The 20,339-nt window shown below is 36.0% G+C and overlaps 1 annotated feature.

The window, feature by feature from the left end:
* Positions 161-851: an enhancer, noted in NCBI's record as "OCT4-NANOG hESC enhancer chr12:41970604-41971294 (GRCh37/hg19 assembly coordinates)". NCBI's record gives its function as "activates a minimal SCP1, AML or CMV promoter by ChIP-STARR-seq in naive and primed H9 embryonic stem cells {active_cell/tissue: H9 hESC(naive and primed)}" and the evidence as "EXISTENCE:reporter gene assay evidence [ECO:0000049][PMID:30033119]".

Below are 20,339 nucleotides of genomic sequence, written 5' to 3' on the forward strand. Positions count from 1 at the left end.
GTGTTTATATAGTTCTACAAGTTGAGAAATGTCTCTTTTTAAAAAATCAGTGAAAATATAAAAAGTGTCATGCTTTATCTTTCTACATGACATATCTTTGTGCTAAACTTTTTTCACATAAATGAATAATAAATCTGTTGCTCGGCAAAGAAAAATAATTGGTTATATGCGGGATATTTTATTCCAGTTCAGAAGAAATACGTGAATGTAAAGAGGAGAGATATTTTACTTGGGCTTATGAAATTTCATATTTATTATTGCTTTTTATACTCAAGATGTGACAGAAATTGGTGTTAGGATCTGAAGAAGGAAAATGACAACAGGTTAATCAAAGAATCTAAAATGGAGCCAGGAGGCCATTTTAGCTTGAACCTCAGGTAGGCCTTGGATGGAGGTCACAACTTCCTGGCTGAACAATGGCCAAAGCATCTGCTGACTGCTTCCTGCTGAGCTCTGGAAGGTCCCTTACCACAGGCGGCCTTTTTAACTGTTAAAATCAGTCCCTTTAGATACAATCACACCAATTGTAGCAGTTGAAAAACAACTTTTGTAATCTCCCCTTCTCCTGATTCATCCTTTTTTCTTTAAAAGCTCCAGCATCTCTTTTGTTCTCCAGGGCACTTCACAAAGTAACTTGGAAGCATTTCCTGGGCTGCAGTGATTCAAATTTGGCTCAAATAAATTCTTTGTTGTTTAAGACATACCTCAGTTTTTTCTAGGTCCACAGATCCATATGTGAAGGACATAAGGGGACAGAAAGCAATGTATGTTCAATGAGTATTTCTTCATTGTGTGCCATGAAGAAGCCTATCGTTGGCATCATATTTTGTGTAGACTGTCTCTTTATGAACACATATTGTGGGTGAGGGAAAGCCTTCTCTCACATAGCCTTTCCACCTACATATTGAATTAATCCATGTCTTCTTGTTGTGTCTCAATCTGCCACCTAAACTCATCTGTCTATCCCTCCGGTGAGCCTCTCCTCTAAGCTTCAAATTCCTCATTTTGTCATGACATTACTGTTCCCCTAGTCTCTCATGCTTACCACCTGAGCCTTGTTGGATTTCTCATTTAGCTGGTCAGTTATAATGAAAAGCATTGTTAATTTCTCTTCAAAGTGTGTTAGATTGTTTCTAATAGGCTTCAATCACCCATAGGCTAGACTGTCACTGTCTCATGCCTAATTACTTCAGCAGGTCCTTAACTGTTCTCCCTGTACCCCTTTCCAGTCTACCTATATATAGCCACAACACTTGCCCTCCTAAACATCACCTTCCTCATTGTGCTCAGATACCTTCAGAGGTCTTTTCCTAAATATCAGACAAAAGCTGAGAACCTGAGATGGTCATTTTAGGATTTCCATCATTTAAACTCAACCTATTTTTCCATCTGACCTCACACTTCTCTTCAAGAAGACTTCCAACTGAGACCTTGAGAAACCTGCCTTGAGTAGATGACTAATTTGGTGCTCCTTCAAACTAACATTTTTGTATTCATTTTTCAGAGACAGGGTCTTGATCTGTTGCCCAGGCTGGAGTGCAGTGGTGCAATCATAGCTCACTGCAACCTCAGACTCTTAGACTTACATGACCTTCCTGACTCAACACCCTGAGTAGTTGGGAATGTAGGCATGTGCCACCATACCTGACTAAATTTTTTTTTATTTTTTGTAGAGATATGGCTCTCACTGTATTGCCCAGACTGATCTTGAACCAATTTGATTGGCCTCAAATAATCCTCCCACCTGGGCCTCCCAAAGTGCTGATATTACTTTGGGAGGCAAAGTAATATGAGTGATATTACTTTGGGAGGCATGAGCCACCATGCCCAGCCAGTATTCTTTAAATTTTCATTAAAAGTTAATTAAATTTTCTATTCTATTAATTTATTTTCTATCATTAATTAATTTCTGCTACAATTTTAATTCTATTAATATACTGTTAATATTATATACATATTATCAAATAATTTATATTAATTTTCTAAGTTGAACACTGCAACAGGCTCATCAATTAATTCACTTTTTCTGAAAAAAAAAAGTAAGAAAAAACATTTTCCCAGCAAATTATTTCCCTCTTATCTGAAGTTTTCATCTTCTCTTGAGTATTATTTTATTATTTTCTGAAATGTATGTCTTTGGAAGTAGTCCAAAGTCTTTGAATATCCTCCAAAGGACATAAAATTTAGATAAAACAAATCAGTCATTCCTGTTAACTATGCAAGCCATGGTTTCAAAATTTCAGTAAACAGTAACTACAGGAAGCTACTGACAAAAGTAACTGACCGAGACAGGTCACCTACTGAGGAGTGTTTCAGGATATTTTAGTAAAATCCGAAGAGAAACCAGACTGTTGCTTCGAGAGGTTTTTGTTGATGTTTTTTGTCTTTGGTATTTTGTTTATTGTTCTGCTGTTTCCACTCAAGTTGTGCTGCTCTTTTTAGCCAGAAGAGGACCAGTTTACACTGTAAGTTTTGCAAAGTCTCCTTATAGAAGTGAGTAAATGATACCATAATGCTGATTATTTGGGGGACATTTTTGTGCTACTTTTAGGTCCCACTATGCCTCTGCTCTGGACTCCCTGCAGTTTTTCGAACATGACATTCTCATTTCTGGCACCACTCTTTGCTCTTCGTGCTTTGCATGCTAAAGAAACCCTTCTCCTGTCTCTGTGTCCATCCTTCCCTTGATGTTCATTTCATGCCTTCTCATCCCTCCAGGAGATTTTCCCTAAGTCTTGCTAACAGCCACTCATTTCTGAACACTTATACGTGGTATTTTCTTATCACTCACTTGGCTTTCCACCCAGTAGCGCCTAATATATTTTTTCTATAGTGTCTAGCATGAGTAGAGCGTGTTGCACAGTAGTACCACTGCTACATTTGTTCTTCTGGCATTTCTTCCATTTTACCAAACAGCAGCTGCTCAGGATTTGGGGAGTCATGCATCTTTCACATACCCCAGCCAACAGTGTTGTCTTCCAACAAACATTGCTCCTGGGTTCAGGAGATATCTATAAACTAGGGTCCCGCTTGTTATTCATTATCGTACTACATGCTTTTAACTTATTAATATCCACTACTTAATTATCCTTTTCCAGCTCTGTCACTAAGTTTGCATTCTTAGGCATGTGGCTTAACTGATGCTCAGTACAGTGGAGATAATTATAGCCTTTTTCATAGTCTGAGAATTAAATGGGTTAATCTATGTAAAGAAGCTAGATAAGTATTGGCACAGGGTGGGCACTCAATATATGTTAGCTATTGTTTTTATGTACAGATGAGCAAAATATGTCTAATATAATTTTTGTCATCTGCCACGAATTCGACAGCTACTAAGCAATGGTTCACTATGGTGTGCCTCAAAATTTTTCTTCTTTCCACAACTCACTGCCTCCACATGAATTAAGAATGAACATCAGCAGCTTGTCTGCTTGTCATCAGCTCTGCTTCAAACAGAAGTCCAGGCACACAGAAATCCAGGCACTAATCCCATTTTCCCTGTGTCATCAAACACGTGCTGACCATCTTCATTTGCTCCTACTTTGTCAGCCATCCTATTTTTTGATTTGTATGTTGCTTATGGTAGGGAATGATGATGCTAGATTTTGTTATTGATCAGTCATTGAGCCTATGATAGTTTTTCTAGACCTAACCAGTACATAATGGCATTCTGCTTCCATTTATTATGGCTCCATTCTATTGTGCTGCCTGTCATGCCCATGAGCAGAAATGTGACATTGTAAAGAACCTCTGGGATGTACATTTTCAGGACTCTCTAGGATCCTCAAAGTTTTAATGGGGGGCAGGGGGAGAGTCAATGCTGGATATTCAATCCCCAATCATATCTAAACAAGAAGTTTGATAAAATGAGACATTTACTCAACTTTACCTTTCTGATGGTGACGAGAATAGATTGAATGGGATGCAACTTCTCAACATATCCTGGAATATTTGTGAGGTGCTCTGGGAAGCGAAGTCTACTCAAATGTGTCAAAAAACCAGCCCTAGCCTGGTGTTCTCATTATGGTAGGGTCAGTGAGTAGAGCAGCTTTGTGTCCATTTAACTTAGTCTGACTTCGTTTTTGAAACAGAATACTAATCAGGAAATCAATAAGTATTGAAATGTGCTATGTGAAATACACAAAGCAATAGAAATAGTACAAAACAGTTAAGACAAGGAAATGTGAAAGTCTGTGATGCTTAATGTGTTAGATGCTTTACATGGGTCATTAATAAACTTGTTATCTTGGGGAGATGAATGATGGGCACATGAAAAGAAATCTAACTGTATAAAGCAGAGTGTATAAAGTGCAGCGTGACAGAGCCCCTGAGGAGCTCAGGAGGGTTGAGAGGAGTGAAGGCTTGGCATGGGCTCTCATCTCTGGGAAGCCTTCCTTGGCTTCACAGCCTTCAGTAATGACTCACTGAACTGACAAGTTCCTATCAATTCTACAATCTATATAATCAGTTCTACAATTTGTTGCACAAAGTCTGACTGAAATTTAAGTTAGGAGGAGACTGGGAGAGGTAGGCAGAAGCCAGGTCATGAAGGGTGTCATATGCAAAAAAGCAGGGGAGTGAATGTGATCAAATTTATGTTGGACACAGATCAGTCTATCAGCAATTTAGACCTTGTTTTGGGTGGGAAAACATTTAGAAGGACAACAACCAGTTAGGAGGAGGTAGTTTTGGTGATCCAGAAGAGAAGAGTGAAGGGCTTGAACAAGGGACTGATGGGTGCACAGGGAGGAACAGATTTGACAGGTATTAAGGACTAAGGTGGAAGATTGAGTACATAAAATTACAAGATGACCAGTTAAATTTGAATCTCAGAACAACTGAATATGTTTCTAATGTAAACGCATATTGGGGACATACTTAATAATACAGTTAATTTTTGTTTATTTGGAGTTGGCGTTATGTATTTTATCTAGCAACTTTATTAAGGAAGTAGAATAGTCAGGTTCTGGGGACTGACTGGACATAGAATGGGAGAGAGCAGATGGAGGAAGGTTTTGAGGATGATTTCAAGGCTACTGGTTGGGGATCTGAGTAAATGACAGTACCACAAGCAGAATGAGCTTAGCAAGAGAAGGTGAACTATTCAGTCTTAGGCATGTTGTTTTAAAGATGCCAATAGGACAGTCCAGGTAGAGATGTCTAATGAGCAATTAAAAGATACAGAGATCAGAATAGGAGACAGGGCTTGGAGGAATACCTGTAGAGGGCACTAATAGTACCATCCACTGGTGTTCTCTTTCAACTAGGTTCCTCCATGGCCATAAAGGCCAGGCCACCAGGAGCGAAGCAGTGAACAGAAAGCTGCTGAGTGTCAAGGAGGTAAAGGGTGCATCAAATTGTTATGGTCCTTCATTGTCCTGGGCCCCACCCTGCTTCTATAAGGTTTCTGGTTTTCAAAGTCACCTCTCTGCTTTGTTAAGAGGAGAAGGCAAGAGCATCCCTGTCAAATGTCCTCCCAGCTCTTCTGAAGCCATTGTCAAGTCTAGAGGATGAGTTTTAGAAACATTCTCAGTAGCATCTGGGGAAGCACTCAATAATCAAATAGATAAATATTTCTTCTGTGAAACATATGAATATTTAAATATAAATAGCCCCATGTAAGTTCGGGCCATGTTTTGCAATCCAATTATTTACGGAAAAAAAATTGCTTTCAGAGATTTATGAATTTTAGAATCTCAGCTGAGTGATTATGATCCTTATTTATATCAATGGTAGAAAAACCAAACAACCCTTTTTTTACTCAATATCATCCCACATTTTTCCATAAAGAATCTCCTCTTTCATTTTTCCTTCTTTTTAAAGGAAATAGTATTCCATTGTATTGATGTACCATAAAGGTATTAATCTATCACCAATGTAGGGATATTCTGATTGTCTCTACCATTTAGCTATTGCTTTTACAGTGTCCATCATCCAAATAATGTACATTGTACCCATTGATTTCTCATCCCTCCCTATCCGCACCCTTCTGAGTTTTCATCGTCTGTCATTCTACACCCCGTGTCCATGGGTACACATTGTTTAGTGCCCACTTATAAGTGAGGACATGTGGTATTTGTCTTTCTGTGTCTGCGTTGTTTCACTTAAAATAATGGCCTTCAGATTCAAGGCTTCAATGAATAACCTTATACGTATGTCCTTTCACTTATGAGTATAACTCAGATAAGTTTCCAGAGGTAGAACTGCAGGGTCCAAGCACATGCACATTTGTGATTTTGATTATTACTATCATAAATATGACTCTCCACAGAGGTGGCATGATTTCAACTCCCACCAGCAGAGAATGGAAAGACCTTTTTCTCCTACTTCCTTCCTGGGCTATTTTCAGCTTGTTTGCTCTCTGCTGCATCTTTCTTCCTCTGCTAGGCTTATTCCTCTGATCTGTGTCTCAATCTCTCCTAACAGCTGAACTCACTCAATAGGTGTCAATGAAAAGAGAATGGGGAACAAGAGGAAGGAAAAGCCATGGCATTTGTACCTGTAGCTAGGTTTCGTCAGATCTGTGGCTTAAACACTTGGGAGTCCTAACAGAGAAAAATTCATTTAAAAATTATGAATTCAAAATTAGGCACAAAAGTAAATAGTTATTTAGCAAACACCTACCTGTACATTTTGACTAGCTTACAAATATCAACTGAGAAAACTTTTAAATTACTATTTTTATTAATTATCTACCAAGCATACCTTTTTAATATCTATTCCTCCTGGGTTTTTGACTGCCTACTCTTTGATCATCTCTTTATATGACAATTATTTTGTGATCTTTGTATAAAGACAATGAAAGTATAATTTAGTCTTTCCTTTATCATTGTTCATAAAAATGTATTTGACTACTGACAGTTTAAAATATTTCATCTTCTCAACTCATTATTCATAATGTCAAGTAAATTTGTAGGATTGTATAAATTTGGGGAGAGCCTCTTTCGAGTTTCTTCTTTACCTGAGCTGAAAAACTGAAGAAAACCTACCCCAGATTAGTTTCTAACTCTGTACATTTTAAACCTTGTTTCTCCTCCATCACTTATAACTATCACTGCCAGCTCTAACTCTTCTCTTCTGTATAATGTCTTCAGATAAGTTAGAGAAGAGGGGGATTCCTAAAAACTATTTATATGAATATTCCAGAAAAGCTAGAAATAAACTAATTATATACATAAGTAACCATAAAACACATAATATTACTCAATAAACCAAAAATAAATCTATACTCAGCTTATCTTCTGTTTAATTTGTGCCTCAAAATGTCCATGGCCATCCCATCAACAGCTGGCATGGGGAAAAATGAAAAAAGAAGTCAAGTAGAAACAGGCAGCAGTCTTAACTGATCACAGTTGCAATGTCTTAATTTAACACATTTTATAAAATCATATGAACATGTAGCCGGGCGCGGTGGCTCACGCCTGTAATCCCAGCACTTTGGGAGGCCGAGGCAGGTGGATCACCTGAGGTCAGGAGATTGAGACCATCCTGGCTAACATGGTGAAACCCTGTTTCTACTAAAAATACAAAAAAAATTAGCCCGGCATGGTGGCGGGCGCCTGTAGTCCCAGCTACTCAGGAGGCTGAGGCAGGAGAATGGCGTGAACCTGGGAGGCGGAGCTTGCAGTGAGCCAAGATTGCGCCACTGCACTCCAGCCTGGGCAACGGAGCAAGACTCCATCTCAAAAAAAAAAAAAAAAAAATCATATGAACATGTGAACACATTGACCAGCCCCTCCCAAGGCCTTAGTGGATGGGCAGTGAGCTCGACCTTCACTGGATCCACTGTCAGTCTGCCTCCTGCCCCTCCCCTCCTTGTCTGGGCAGCATCTCCTGCAGAAGCTGCATCTCCCTCAGGCTGCAGCTCCCGCCAGACAGGTAGACCATGCTCCCAGATTCCACCAGGTAATCATGGCCCCCGAATGCCTGTAACACTGCCTGAGGATGGAAATGGCTTCCCACTATTTCTGACTTCTGTGTTATCTCATTCTCAGATTCTTCATTATACTTGATGGATTTCCTGCATTACACTTTCTATTTTATTTAAAGCATTTTTTGTTCTTCTGCTAAGACTCTAACCAATACTTTTGTTGGTACTAGAAGTGGTCCCAGTAAACAGACTCCCAGATAAGATTCTAGAATGAAATTACTCTCTTGTTTGTGTGTGAACACATCATGACCTCCTTGAAGACAGAAAATGAGACCTTAGTAATGCGGGCATGTAACGCATCACTTGTGGTTGCTTGGGGCTAAATATATGTTAAAATAAAAATTTTAGGGAACCAAATAGTTTCTAACTTGCTACACTTGCCCAGTAAGGAAGTAATGATGATTACGAAGAATATGGAGTGTAATAACTATTTTTGATGGCACTGTAAAGTTTATGAGGAAAAATATTTTAGGAAAAAAGTCTTGTGTTTTTAGAGACCCATCTATGAGCATCAGAAATAAACACTGGCAATCTGAGAGTGTGTCTATGCTGGACAAGCTAAGCTTCAAAATGCCTAAAGCATGCTTACTTCTTTTCTAAGCACAGTAGTTTATTTCATAGGTCACCATATGCTATCATCAACCATAGTTGATTGGACCAAAGGGTAAGCATCTAACCCAAGGTTATCTGAACTTCAGCCAGCCATCTTCTTAAGAAGTGGCTTAGAATTAAAGCATTGCCCAAACAAATAATGACATGCAGAAGCAATCAAATTTACTAGATATTGCACAACATGGTAACTATAGTTAAGAACAATGTGTCGTATTTGGGAAAATTGCTAAAAGTAGATTTTAAGTGTTCTTACCACAAAGATAAATATGTGCAGTAATGCATATGTTAATCAGCTTGATTTAGTAATTCCACAGTGTATACATACTTCGAAATAACCTATTGTATATAATAAACATATATAATTTTTATTTGTCAATTTAACATTAAAAATGCTAAAAACATCATAAAAAATCTGCTAGCAATTTTTTTTGTAGCTTTTGGTGTACAGGTGGCTTTTGGTTACTGGATGAATTATATAATGATGAATTTTGAGATCTGAGTGCACCAGTCACCCAAGCAGTATACACTGTACCCAATATGTAGTCTTTTATCCCTCACCTCCTCCCACTCCCCCACTGCCCAAGTCCCCAAAGACCATTAAATCACTCTGCGTATCTCTGCATCCTTATTCTGCTAGGAATTTGAACTGGAGCTTTGGGGAGATAATCAGTTAGTTATTAGCTGAGGCTTAAACCAAAAGATACTCAGAAAAAGAGAGTCTTCATAATAATGAAAAACTAGAGTTGGGATTCATACATTCTCAAAACAGTAAAACTCATCGCTAGCTCATGAGTGACTGTCTACTTTCTCTTTCCATAAAACTTGATCATTGCAAGTTCATGCTTTTTTGGTAATGACTCGTAATGAAATTTCTTCTGATTTCACATGTGGAGTAGCTGAGTGTTGGATCCCTTATCTTCATTTGCATGGGCCACCATTCTTATAGTAACTTGGGGAAGTCTCCATTCACTACAACCAGAAGAATCCACCTAAAACAATGTCCCATTAAACCTTTTTCTATGTACTTTTATGATTTTTACTACAAAATCAAATCATATGACAGAAATGATATCCCAATTGTTGGATTTAACAATACATTTTAAATATCTTTCTATAACAATAAATGTGTATATGAAGCAACATTTTCAGTGTTTAGAATATCCACTATACGGATCCATGCCTTATTTAACAACTTCCTTTTTTCCCTTTTCTCTTGTTGTTTGCTGTTGGTATAATAAATAATGATGAAATAAAGACACTTGTGTACGTATCTATGTATATTAATCTGAGTACTCCCTTTGGATAAATAACCAGGAGTAAGCCAGCTGGATCGAAGAATATGATCATTTATAAGACTTTTGAATTGTATTGCTAAAATACCCTCCAGAAATTTACTAACAATTGCATTCCCAATAGCATTACACAAGAATGGCCATTTCTATGAAAACAATAAATATGTGCCTTTTTAAAGCCTAAAACCTCACTGTCCTTGAGGAGTGTCCTCAGATGCAGTATAAACATCAAAGGAGCCCTATTATTGAGGGAGCAATTTGGAAGCGAATGGAACTGTTGACCATGAAGGGTTGTCAAATTTTGCAATAATTTGGTGGATGAAACTCGCTGGAGACCCTGCTTTCCAGACACTTTCTAGGAAAAAAAAAAAAAAAAAAAGACAGTATACACTTCCCAGAGTAACCAGAATTTTTGTGGGTTTTGCTTTCCTACATAGTTTGAAAGTTCTAGCAAATATTTACTTTCTTTCCAAGGTATATTTCTAAGTGGGCTAAGAAACAAAATGAGAAACTGTTAATATATGGATACTTCAATAGTGTGAGGATGAATACACCATATATATGAAAACATACATATATATTTGTATAAATAGTATATGTGTGTATGTATATTATATATGGTAAATCTAAGAGGCAGTATGATAAGGGAAGAATGCTGAACTGGTAATCAAAAAAACTAGACCCAGCTCTTTACTAACTCTGTAAACTTTCAAAAATTACTTTATCTTTCGGGATTAGTAAAATAAAGCAGTCAAGCAATAGGACACTTTCCAGCTTTTAATAAGAAATGAATCAGACAATGCATTTTAGAAGATGATTAGAGCTAGGAATTTCTCAAGAGGACACAAAAAGTTTCAATTATTTAATCTGTGATTTTTGAAAATTATGTCTTAAGAAATTGTCACTTCTAGGTGAGCTGACACAAGCCATATGTGATGGCTGACAAGGAGCAAGAACACTGGGTTCAACTCTGTGGTCCCACAGTATTGGCCTTACCCAGTCATGGCTGAAAACTCTTCCTAGTGAGAATCTTGCTGGGAAGACTGCATGAATTCTCAAATCTCCTGTTTGAATTTAGTCCTGAAAATGTTAAAAAGTATGTAAAGAAAGACCCATTCATCTTCCTAAATGAGGAGTCATATGCTGGGAATTAAATTTTTATGCTAAAAGACAAAAAGGTTGACACCATATTTATGATGGCTGGACCATCTTTGGCAGAAACTGTGGAAAAAAATGGAGTAGGAAGTTTGGCAGTCAACAAGCTCATGAAATTCACTAGAGATCAAAACAGTCCTTTTTGGCATTTTAAAGGCTTTCTGCTTATTTTCTGAGGTTATTTAACCCTGCTGCCAATCTCAACTGTGCATGAATATTTTTGTGCCTTTGAAATCACCAGCATAATGGCATATAGATGCTATACAGCGAGAAATATGAAGTTTATAAATATTAATATCAGTCAAGATGCTGTCACACCTTAGACAGGATGGGATCTCCAAAATTAAAATATAAAAAGGATATTCAGTTTTCCCTCCTCTTTTGCTTTGGCTTCGTGCTTAAATGAATGGTGAAGATAAAGAAGTGGACCCTGAAATTTATATCAAGATTCAGGTGTAAGAAATTAAAACTAAAGACCAGTTCAACCCTGGCAATTTAATATACTTCTCTTAAGATCTTTAATACCAAACTTATCAGTTCTCTCTGTTAGGCATTAACTTGTTAAATGAGTCTTAATTATACATAAGCAGATGGAGATTTGAATTAAAATTACCTTACACTCGAGTGGCTTTAGTTCATTATAACATATCTTCCTCTTAATCATTTAGGCAGTCTCATCATCTTTCATATAGAAAGTTATTAAAATATTCCAATTTCCATATTTCTTCAGATACAGCCACTATTAAGTGGTGAGTAATGCACATTAGTAGGTGACTTATACCATCCGAGAGTTGGTGAATTATTCACGTCAGGAACAATTTTTGCACTTTTCTGTCATCTGTAGTATTGTCTTTTAAATACTTTATATTTACTTGATACGTGGAACCTCACCTCATTTAATTTTAAGTACCAATTTTAATTCCATTTTATTTCCAAAGGGATAGAAACAGAGTATCATCAACTTTATTCTGTACTTTGGTTGATCAGAGTCCAGAAAGTAGAGGTGTAGACTCCTATTCCTTGAAGGCATTCAGTGATGAAAGCTAAGTACTTCTTAATCACATCAGCCTTCAAAAAGACTGCCACAACCCTTAAAATGAGCTACAATTTTGCTAAATATCGAGACATAGTAGCAATTGTACTTTTGGCAACTAATATTTCTGGGCCTAACAACTCAATCCAGGGTTTATTCTTCTCCAAAGTTGCTAAGAAAACCCAGCAAGGGTACACCTGGATATTGTTCTAAGGCCAATAACTCCAGGGTACAACAAGGTTAACTTAGGCCAAGTAGTAGCATTTTAGTATTTCTGAAAGTGAGAAATTTACAGCTATCCCTATAAGAACCCTCCTGAGAAAACTTTAAAGCCCGACACTGCCATGCCTTCCTTTAGAAGCAGAAGCCCCCTTGGGCTGTTATTTTACCCAAGTAGTCAATCAGGCTCCAGTAATGTTCTGTTCCAGAGGTGTCACTGGATTTACAGGCAGCAATGAGAGTGGCAGCAGAATCAAACTAGACAACTGACAAGAGTGGAGAGTCCTGAATCTTGGCTGAGTCATCAAGACAAAAGTTCAGTCAGTCTTGCCAAGCATTGTCATATTTTATTTATAAAATGAAGCAAAATATCATCCTTTATGTTTGACAAAACCCAGTATTCAGCACAACTCTTTCTGCATTGTTTAACCTGCGTGAGTGAAGACATGAGTCCCAAACCCACACGTAATTTGAAAGTACAGTAAATTGGGCCTGAGTTACTCAGTGAGTTGTAGTAGCTGCAAATGGGATCCTGGAAATACTGCATGAAAGAAGAGTGATTCTAAGAAATTACTTCTTTTAATGCAAGGAAACTTTTCTCCAACCAGTAGGTGAAAGTTACGTTAATTTTTAATTACACAGTATATTAGCATTTTGATAATTGTAGCCTGCTAATGCATGTTTTTATAGAAATGTAAAGTAAAAAGTATAATCACATCCACACCTTGAAGGCAAACATTGAGAACGTAAGATGTGATAGAAACATTACAACTGTTCTGCTTTGTTGTTTTCTTGAATTTATAAATGCATTTGTGTGTATATACCTTCTGCCAATCCTTGTGGAAATAGAGATACACATTTATTTTCTTTTTTTATTTGTTTATTTCACCTACTGCCACATACTAGTGAGTTACTTGAGAAAAGAATATATAAATATAATGTGCCCTCAAATGCAATTTAAATTGATTAATAATATTTGGAGGCTTTGAAAATTGTCCAACCAGTCTCCCGGTCATGGCTGGTAGATTTAAACATGGTCTCTTCTCTGCTGAAAGCACATACACTATTTGGAATCCTCCAGCCAGCACATGCTCTGGACTCCAACTAATTAAGTTTTCTGCTTGCTGCCGTTGAAAGCGTCAGTCAGGTGCAATTAAAACTGAGCCAATGACAGCAGTGGCATTTGTCAGAATCATCCTGTGGTTCAAATACCAGTTCTGACAGAAATGTCAAACTGATAGCACTCCCATCTTCCCAGTGCATGTTAGGGAAAAGCAGGGAGGACTTTTATTATAAATGCTTGGCTGATAACCTTTTTGAATCCCAGAACACCAAATGCCTCACATGAAATTTCATTATTCTAGAAAAGAATTCGGCTCATAGATGCTTCCTTCCCATGAAGTAAAGCTCAACCTAGCTCAATGGTCTTTACTTCTGTTAGGTCTTTCAGGGAATTTTGAAATAAATAAAGAAAATAACAGATAATCAGGTGGATAGAAGTAGTCTAGTTATAGAGGCATGAAACTCTTAAATGAAAATGGTCTCAGAGTTAAAACTGTTGTTATCAATCAAATTTCTGGATACATTGTTAGATTTGAGCTTTGTCTTCTGTTTTAGTGACAAATACAGTCAAAAACAAGTAAAGACACCATTGCGAGGGAAGAGAGGTCACAAACTCTGGACTCAGATTCTAACCCTCTCTAATTTTATGATTTATTACCTAGCATAGCTCCTGATTGGACTAAGTATATTACTCTGCAATGTTTGATAAGTTAAAGAGCAAATGAATGAGTGAATATCACATTACTTTCGTTTCTAATTCATGAAATGAAAGTAGTCATAGAATTTTAGAGTGAAAGATAACTTTGTAATTACGTATTTTAGGGATGAGAAAGATGAAAAATGGAAAGAAGTTATTTGTACCCCTTCTCTTTCTATATGCATGCATGATAGTGAAGATTGGATAAAGTAACAAACACAGAACACTTTCATCAATCTTATGGTCTAGAAAAAAATTAACATGTTCATGGGCCAAACGATAGCAGATGTGAAGTGCTTAGGGTCAAATATGCTTGAGCTATTGCATCTTAAAGATTTAATATCTACACAAGAAATGTTATGACTGTATAATTTTGTCTAACCTTTTAGCATATTTTCCATTTATATCCCCAAATACAATGTTGTATCCCATGGAAAACATTTTTAAATGCGTACCTTTGCACGTGCATGTAAAATATTCCCTACAGAGGTGGGAAACAGAACAGAGCAAGCTGGAAGGGCACAGAGCTATGACTCAGATAAAAAGTCAAACTGATACCAACAAACCTGGCACTTGGGAGATGCTCAGTAAATACTTGTTGACTAATGAGGAAGAAAAATAAAAACAGTAAACAGGAATTGATTTATAACAAGGCTCAGTAAACCCTTTAGTGTAGAAAGTGAGATCCTAGGTTATAAATGGAAAGAGATAAGTGATGACTAAACTACTCTTCATAGTATAAAAACAGAAAATGTGGAACAGAGGGAGGTTCTGAGTAAAAGGGAGTAGGAAGGGAGACAATGGTCAGAATTATGCGGTAGAAAACAGGGGCCTCTGGCAGAAGGGGGCCAGTGAGAAGATTCTTAGTGACAAACAGATTGGATTACTTTTGAGAACAAGGATCTCTAATAAATAATTTTTCAGACTTTTTGCATTTCTATGCCTGAAACTCCTCAGTCAACCCAAATATCAGTATGTTCTACCGTACGCACTAATAGGAGACATAAAACAAGGGGCCGCATCTAGTTTTGAATAGAACAGAGGAATACTCTCGGGAGGTGAAACATGAATAAGATCGAGAGTTCAGTAGAGGAAGAAGCCCAGACCCAGAAATGTGCATGAAAACATAAACCTCTGGGAACTTATGGAAACATTAGGGCAAGAATGGATTTCTTAAAAATACAGAAGAGTATCGAGTCAATTGTTCATAAACAAGAGCTAGGTGATTTCGTCTAATACTTGATTTTTTTGTTCTCAACAGTTTAATTAATGAATTGAGTAATCATGTAATTCTTTTATGTATTTTTCACATGGTCTTTCATTGAATAGCCCCACACCCAGAATTATTGTTATACATGCTTTTCAAAATATTTTGCAAAAAAAAAAAGCAGTCTTTTAGAATATCGAATATGTTTTTACAAAAACAGTTGAGGAAAGGAAATTCTAATTCCTTTTTCAAATTAGTTTGTGGACACTAAGATAACTAAAATAACACAGGCTGACCTCCCCAATCCAAAAATCCAAAAATCAAAATGCTCCAAAATATGAAATTTTTGTGTGCTAATTAATATGATGCTCAAAGGAAATACTCATTGGAGACTTTTGAATTTTCAGATTTGAGATGCTCAACTGGTATAATGCAAATACCCAACATCTGAAAAAACCCAAAATCTGAAAAAAATCCAAAATCTGAAACACTTTTGGTGGCAAGCATTTTGGATAAGAAGTACTCAACCTGTATGTACCAGAGTCTTCACAGCAGTGTCCCTATAAAAGCCTTAAGTATACTAATTACCAAAAGAAGAGTTATGTTTAACAGTGTTTCCTAAACATATTGGAGCCTGGAACATCTTTAAAAAACTCAACAGTCGTCTTTGAAAAACACTGGTTAGTGTTAACTGGATCAGCCCATGAGAAAGAAGTTAGCCCACTTGGGGCCATAAATGCCTCTGATAACACCTTGAAAGCTTTAGACCCCCCAAAGGCACTCCATTCATACACAAAGAACTACATATACAACTTTGAAGTAGAAGTAGGAGTAGGGAGTAGGAAACCTTGAAATTCAAAAGATTTTTAATAGTCAGAGGATATTCATTATATGTGTATGAGTATTTATCCAATCTGCCACTGATTAACATTTGGATTGTTCTTAGTTTTTATTTATTAAGAATAATACTGTTAAAAACATACTTGTACACATCTTTTGGTGCAGAAATGGATACATTTCTGTTGCAAAAACTAGGAGAGAATTACTGGTTTATAGAGTGTGCATATGTTCAACTTTACTAGATACTGCCAAATAGTTTTTCAAAGCTGTTGAACTCATTCATACTCCCACCAACAGTGACCAGTGTTCCATTATATTCTCCTTGTCAATATCCTGACAACACTTCAATCCCATTTGGTAATGCTAATTTTTGTGATTTTAGCCATTCTGGTAGGTGTATAGAAGTGTATCATGATGGATTTAAGTTTTTATTTTCTTAATGAATAATAAAATTGAGTACTTTTCATATGGTAGATCGTCTTTAATGAGGAGCTTGTTCATTTTTCCTATGTTTCTGTTGAGTTGCCTGTAATTATTTTATTAATCTGTAGAAGTTTTTATATACAATGATAGGAAACTTTTGTTGATATATTTGATTGCACATATCTTTTAGTTATGGATTACCTTTATTCTCTTTCAACAGTGTCTTCTGATGAATAGGCCATATTTATGTAGGCTCTATAAGTAAAATAGGTTCTATTTATATGTAATCTAAATTTATCAATATTTTTCTTCATGGCTTGTGTTTATCAGTACTGTTTAAGAAACTTTTTCATTTCCTATGGTCATGAAGATATTAATCTATGTCATATTCCAGAGCTTTATATTTTTACCTTTCACATTGAGATCTACAATCTGGTATTAATTGCTCTGTACAGTGTGAGCTAGGGACCAACTTTAATATTTTTCTATAATGATATTAAACTGAATGATAATATTTATTGAAAAATATAAACTTTCTCACTTTGAAATCTCAAACTTTTATATATGGGTCAGTTTCAGGACTTTTGTTTCATTGGTCTACTTGTTCATTCTTGTGCCAAGATCATATTATCTTGATAATGTAGCTTTGTGGGTTTTGATATCTAATATATCTAGTAATGTAACATTGCTTTCATTCTTAAGGGTACCTATGGCTTAATTTGCCCATTTTCCTTTTCATAACGATGTTATAATCAGCTCGTCAACTTCCACCAAAAGAAAAAAATCAACCAGGATTTAATTAATATAATGTAATAATCCTTATATAATATAATAATTATATCATTATATAATCATTTACTATAATAATCCTTAATATAATAAGACCTCTTTATAATATCAAACTTTCCAATTCATAAACATGATATATGTAGGTATTTTCAAAAGCTTTTACTGGATTTATTCTGAAATATTTCTTATTTTCAGTGTCTTTTTATAAGATATCATTCTTTAAATTTCGCTTTTGAATGGCATTTTGGTGGTAATGGCAAAACCAATGTATTTTTGTATATTGACCTTATATCCAGTGACCTTGCTAAATTTATTTATTAAGTATAATAGTTATATCACTGATTCTTGTGGATTTTTATGTACATAATCATGATGCTTGCAAATAATGCTAGTTTAATTTCTTACTTTCTATTTACTATCTCTTTTATTATTTTCCTGCTTTTTGCACCAGATAAAACCACTGGTACAATATTGAACAGAAATAAAAAGTCATCTCATTTTGTTCCCAGCCTAAAGGAAAAGCTTTTAATTACTCGCTAAGCAATATGTTTGCTATTGGTTTGTTTTTGTAGGCAACGTTTATCAGATTAGAAGACTTCATATCCTTTTGTATTTTACTAAGATTTTGAAATTATAAATCAGCATTCTACTTCATCAAATGTTTTTTCTGCATATATGGAAATGATCACATCATCTTTCTCATTTTTCTGTTAACATATTACATTAAGTGACTTTCAAATGTCAAATGAACCTTGCATTCCTGAAATAATATCAGCTTGGTCTTGGGTATTATCATATTTATGTATTTCTGATTTTGGTTTTGTAATATCTCACTAGAAATTTTACATCTATATTTATTTTAAAAGATTGCTCTGTAATTGTCACTTCTTACCATGTTCTTAACAGGATTTGGTATGAAAGTTAACTGCTTTCATAAAATGAGTTGAGAAATGTCACCACTTTTTTTATTCTCTGGAATATTTTTGTCTAAAACTAACATTATTTATTTCTCAAATGTCTCATAGAATTCAATAGTGAATACATTTGGCTTTGGAGTTTTCATTGTAGGAAGACTTTTATTTATGGATTTAATTACTTTGATAAATTTAATATTACTTTTTCTCGAGTATGTGTTAACTGTTTTTCTAGGAATTTGTCTACTTCATTTAAATTTTCAAGTGCATTGGTTAAAATGACTTCAAAACATCATACCTTTTAATGTTCATAAGATCTATAGCAATATCCCCTTTCATGTTTCTGATATTGACAATTGGGCTTTCTTTAATTTTTTTTCTTTATCAGTCTTGACATAGATTTATCAATTTTATCATTCTTTTCAAGAAACCAAGCATTTATTTTGTGCTGCTATAACAGAATACCACAGACTGGATAATTAATAATAAACAGAAATTTATTGATTCACAGTTCTGGAGGCTGAGAAGTCCAATATCAAGGTGCAGGCATTTGGCAATGGCCTTCTTGCTGTGTCATCAGATAGCAGAGAAGAGGAGAAAAAGTCTATGCCTGAAAGCCCCTGTGTAAAGACTTCATGGCCTAACCATCTCCTAAAGTTTCCACTTTTTAATACTGTTACAATGACAATTAAATTTCAACATGAGTTTTGCAGGAGGCAAACATTCAAACCATAGCATTCCACCCCGGCCCAAAAACTCATATCCTTCTCACGTACAAAAATACATTCATTCCATCCCAAGGTCCAAAAATCTTAAGTCGTTCAAGCACCAACTCTTAAGTCCAAAGTCCAGAGTCTCATCTAAATCAGATATGCATGAGACTCAGGGTACAACTCATCTTGAGGCAAATTCCTCTGCAGCTGTCAGCCTGTAAAATCAAATAAGTTACCTACTTCCAAATCACAATAGTGGAAAAAAACTATGATAGACATTCCCATTCCAAAACAGACAGGTAGGCAAAGAAAAGGCTGGGGGAGAGTAACTGATCCCAAGCAAGTTTCAAACCCAACAGGGTACACAATATTTAATCTTAAGGCTCCAGAATTATCTTCCTTGACTCCATGTCCCATCTTCTGGACACACTAAAGCAGGGGTAGAGCCCCAAAGGCCTTGAATAGCTTCCCCCACCCATGGATCTGCCAGACTCAGCCCACAGAGCAGCTCTCACAGATTGTAGTCTAAAGCCTCATCATCTTTTAAAGGCCCCACCTCTTACTACTGTTACAATGGCAATTAAACATCAACATGAGTTTTGAAGATGGCAAACATTTACACCATAGCACTAAGTTTGACATTACTGATAACCTCTAATATACATTGATTCCCTTTTCCCTCTTCTTTTGTTATATAACAACCATTGTATTATGATCACAGATTATCTGGGTCAGGAATTCAGAGAGGGCACAATGGGGATGGCATCTCTTTGCTGCACAACGTATAGAGTTCCACTGGGAAGACTCAAAGGATGGGAGGATGAAATAATTTGAATACTGCTGCACTCAGAAGTATAGAAATTGATGTATGCTGTCATCGGGACCCCTACTACAGCTGTCAGTTGTAACACCTACACGTGGCCTCTTTAAATAGCTAGTTTCGACTTCCTTGCAATGTGGCAGCTGGATATCAAGAGCAAGTGTCTCATAAGAACTACATAGAAATTGTACTACCTTAAAAAAACAGCTTTGTGGAGATATAATTCACATACCAAACAGTGATCCATTTAAAGTATACAATTTAATGATTTGCAGTGTAGTCACAGAGTTGTGCAACAATCACCAGGATTAATTTTTGAACATTTTTATCTCTGCAGATAAAGAAAATAATTCCCCATTTTCCCCTAATGCTCCCAGCCCTAGGCAACAACTTATCTTTCTGTATGAATTTGCCTATTCTGGACATTTCATAAAAACAAAATCATATGCTATCTGGTCTTTTAAGTGTGATTTATTTCACTTAGAATAACTTTCTTTAAGCTCTGTTCATGTAATATGTATCAGTACTTAATTTCCTTTTATGTCCATGATATTTATGATATTCCATTGTGATTTTATTTGTTCATTGATTAGTTGATGGACATTTGAGTTGTTTCCAATTTGGGGCTATTTT

The sequence above is a fragment of the Homo sapiens genome, chromosome 12, assembly GCF_000001405.40.
Source record: "Homo sapiens chromosome 12, GRCh38.p14 Primary Assembly".
Lineage (NCBI taxonomy): Eukaryota > Metazoa > Chordata > Mammalia > Primates > Hominidae > Homo > Homo sapiens.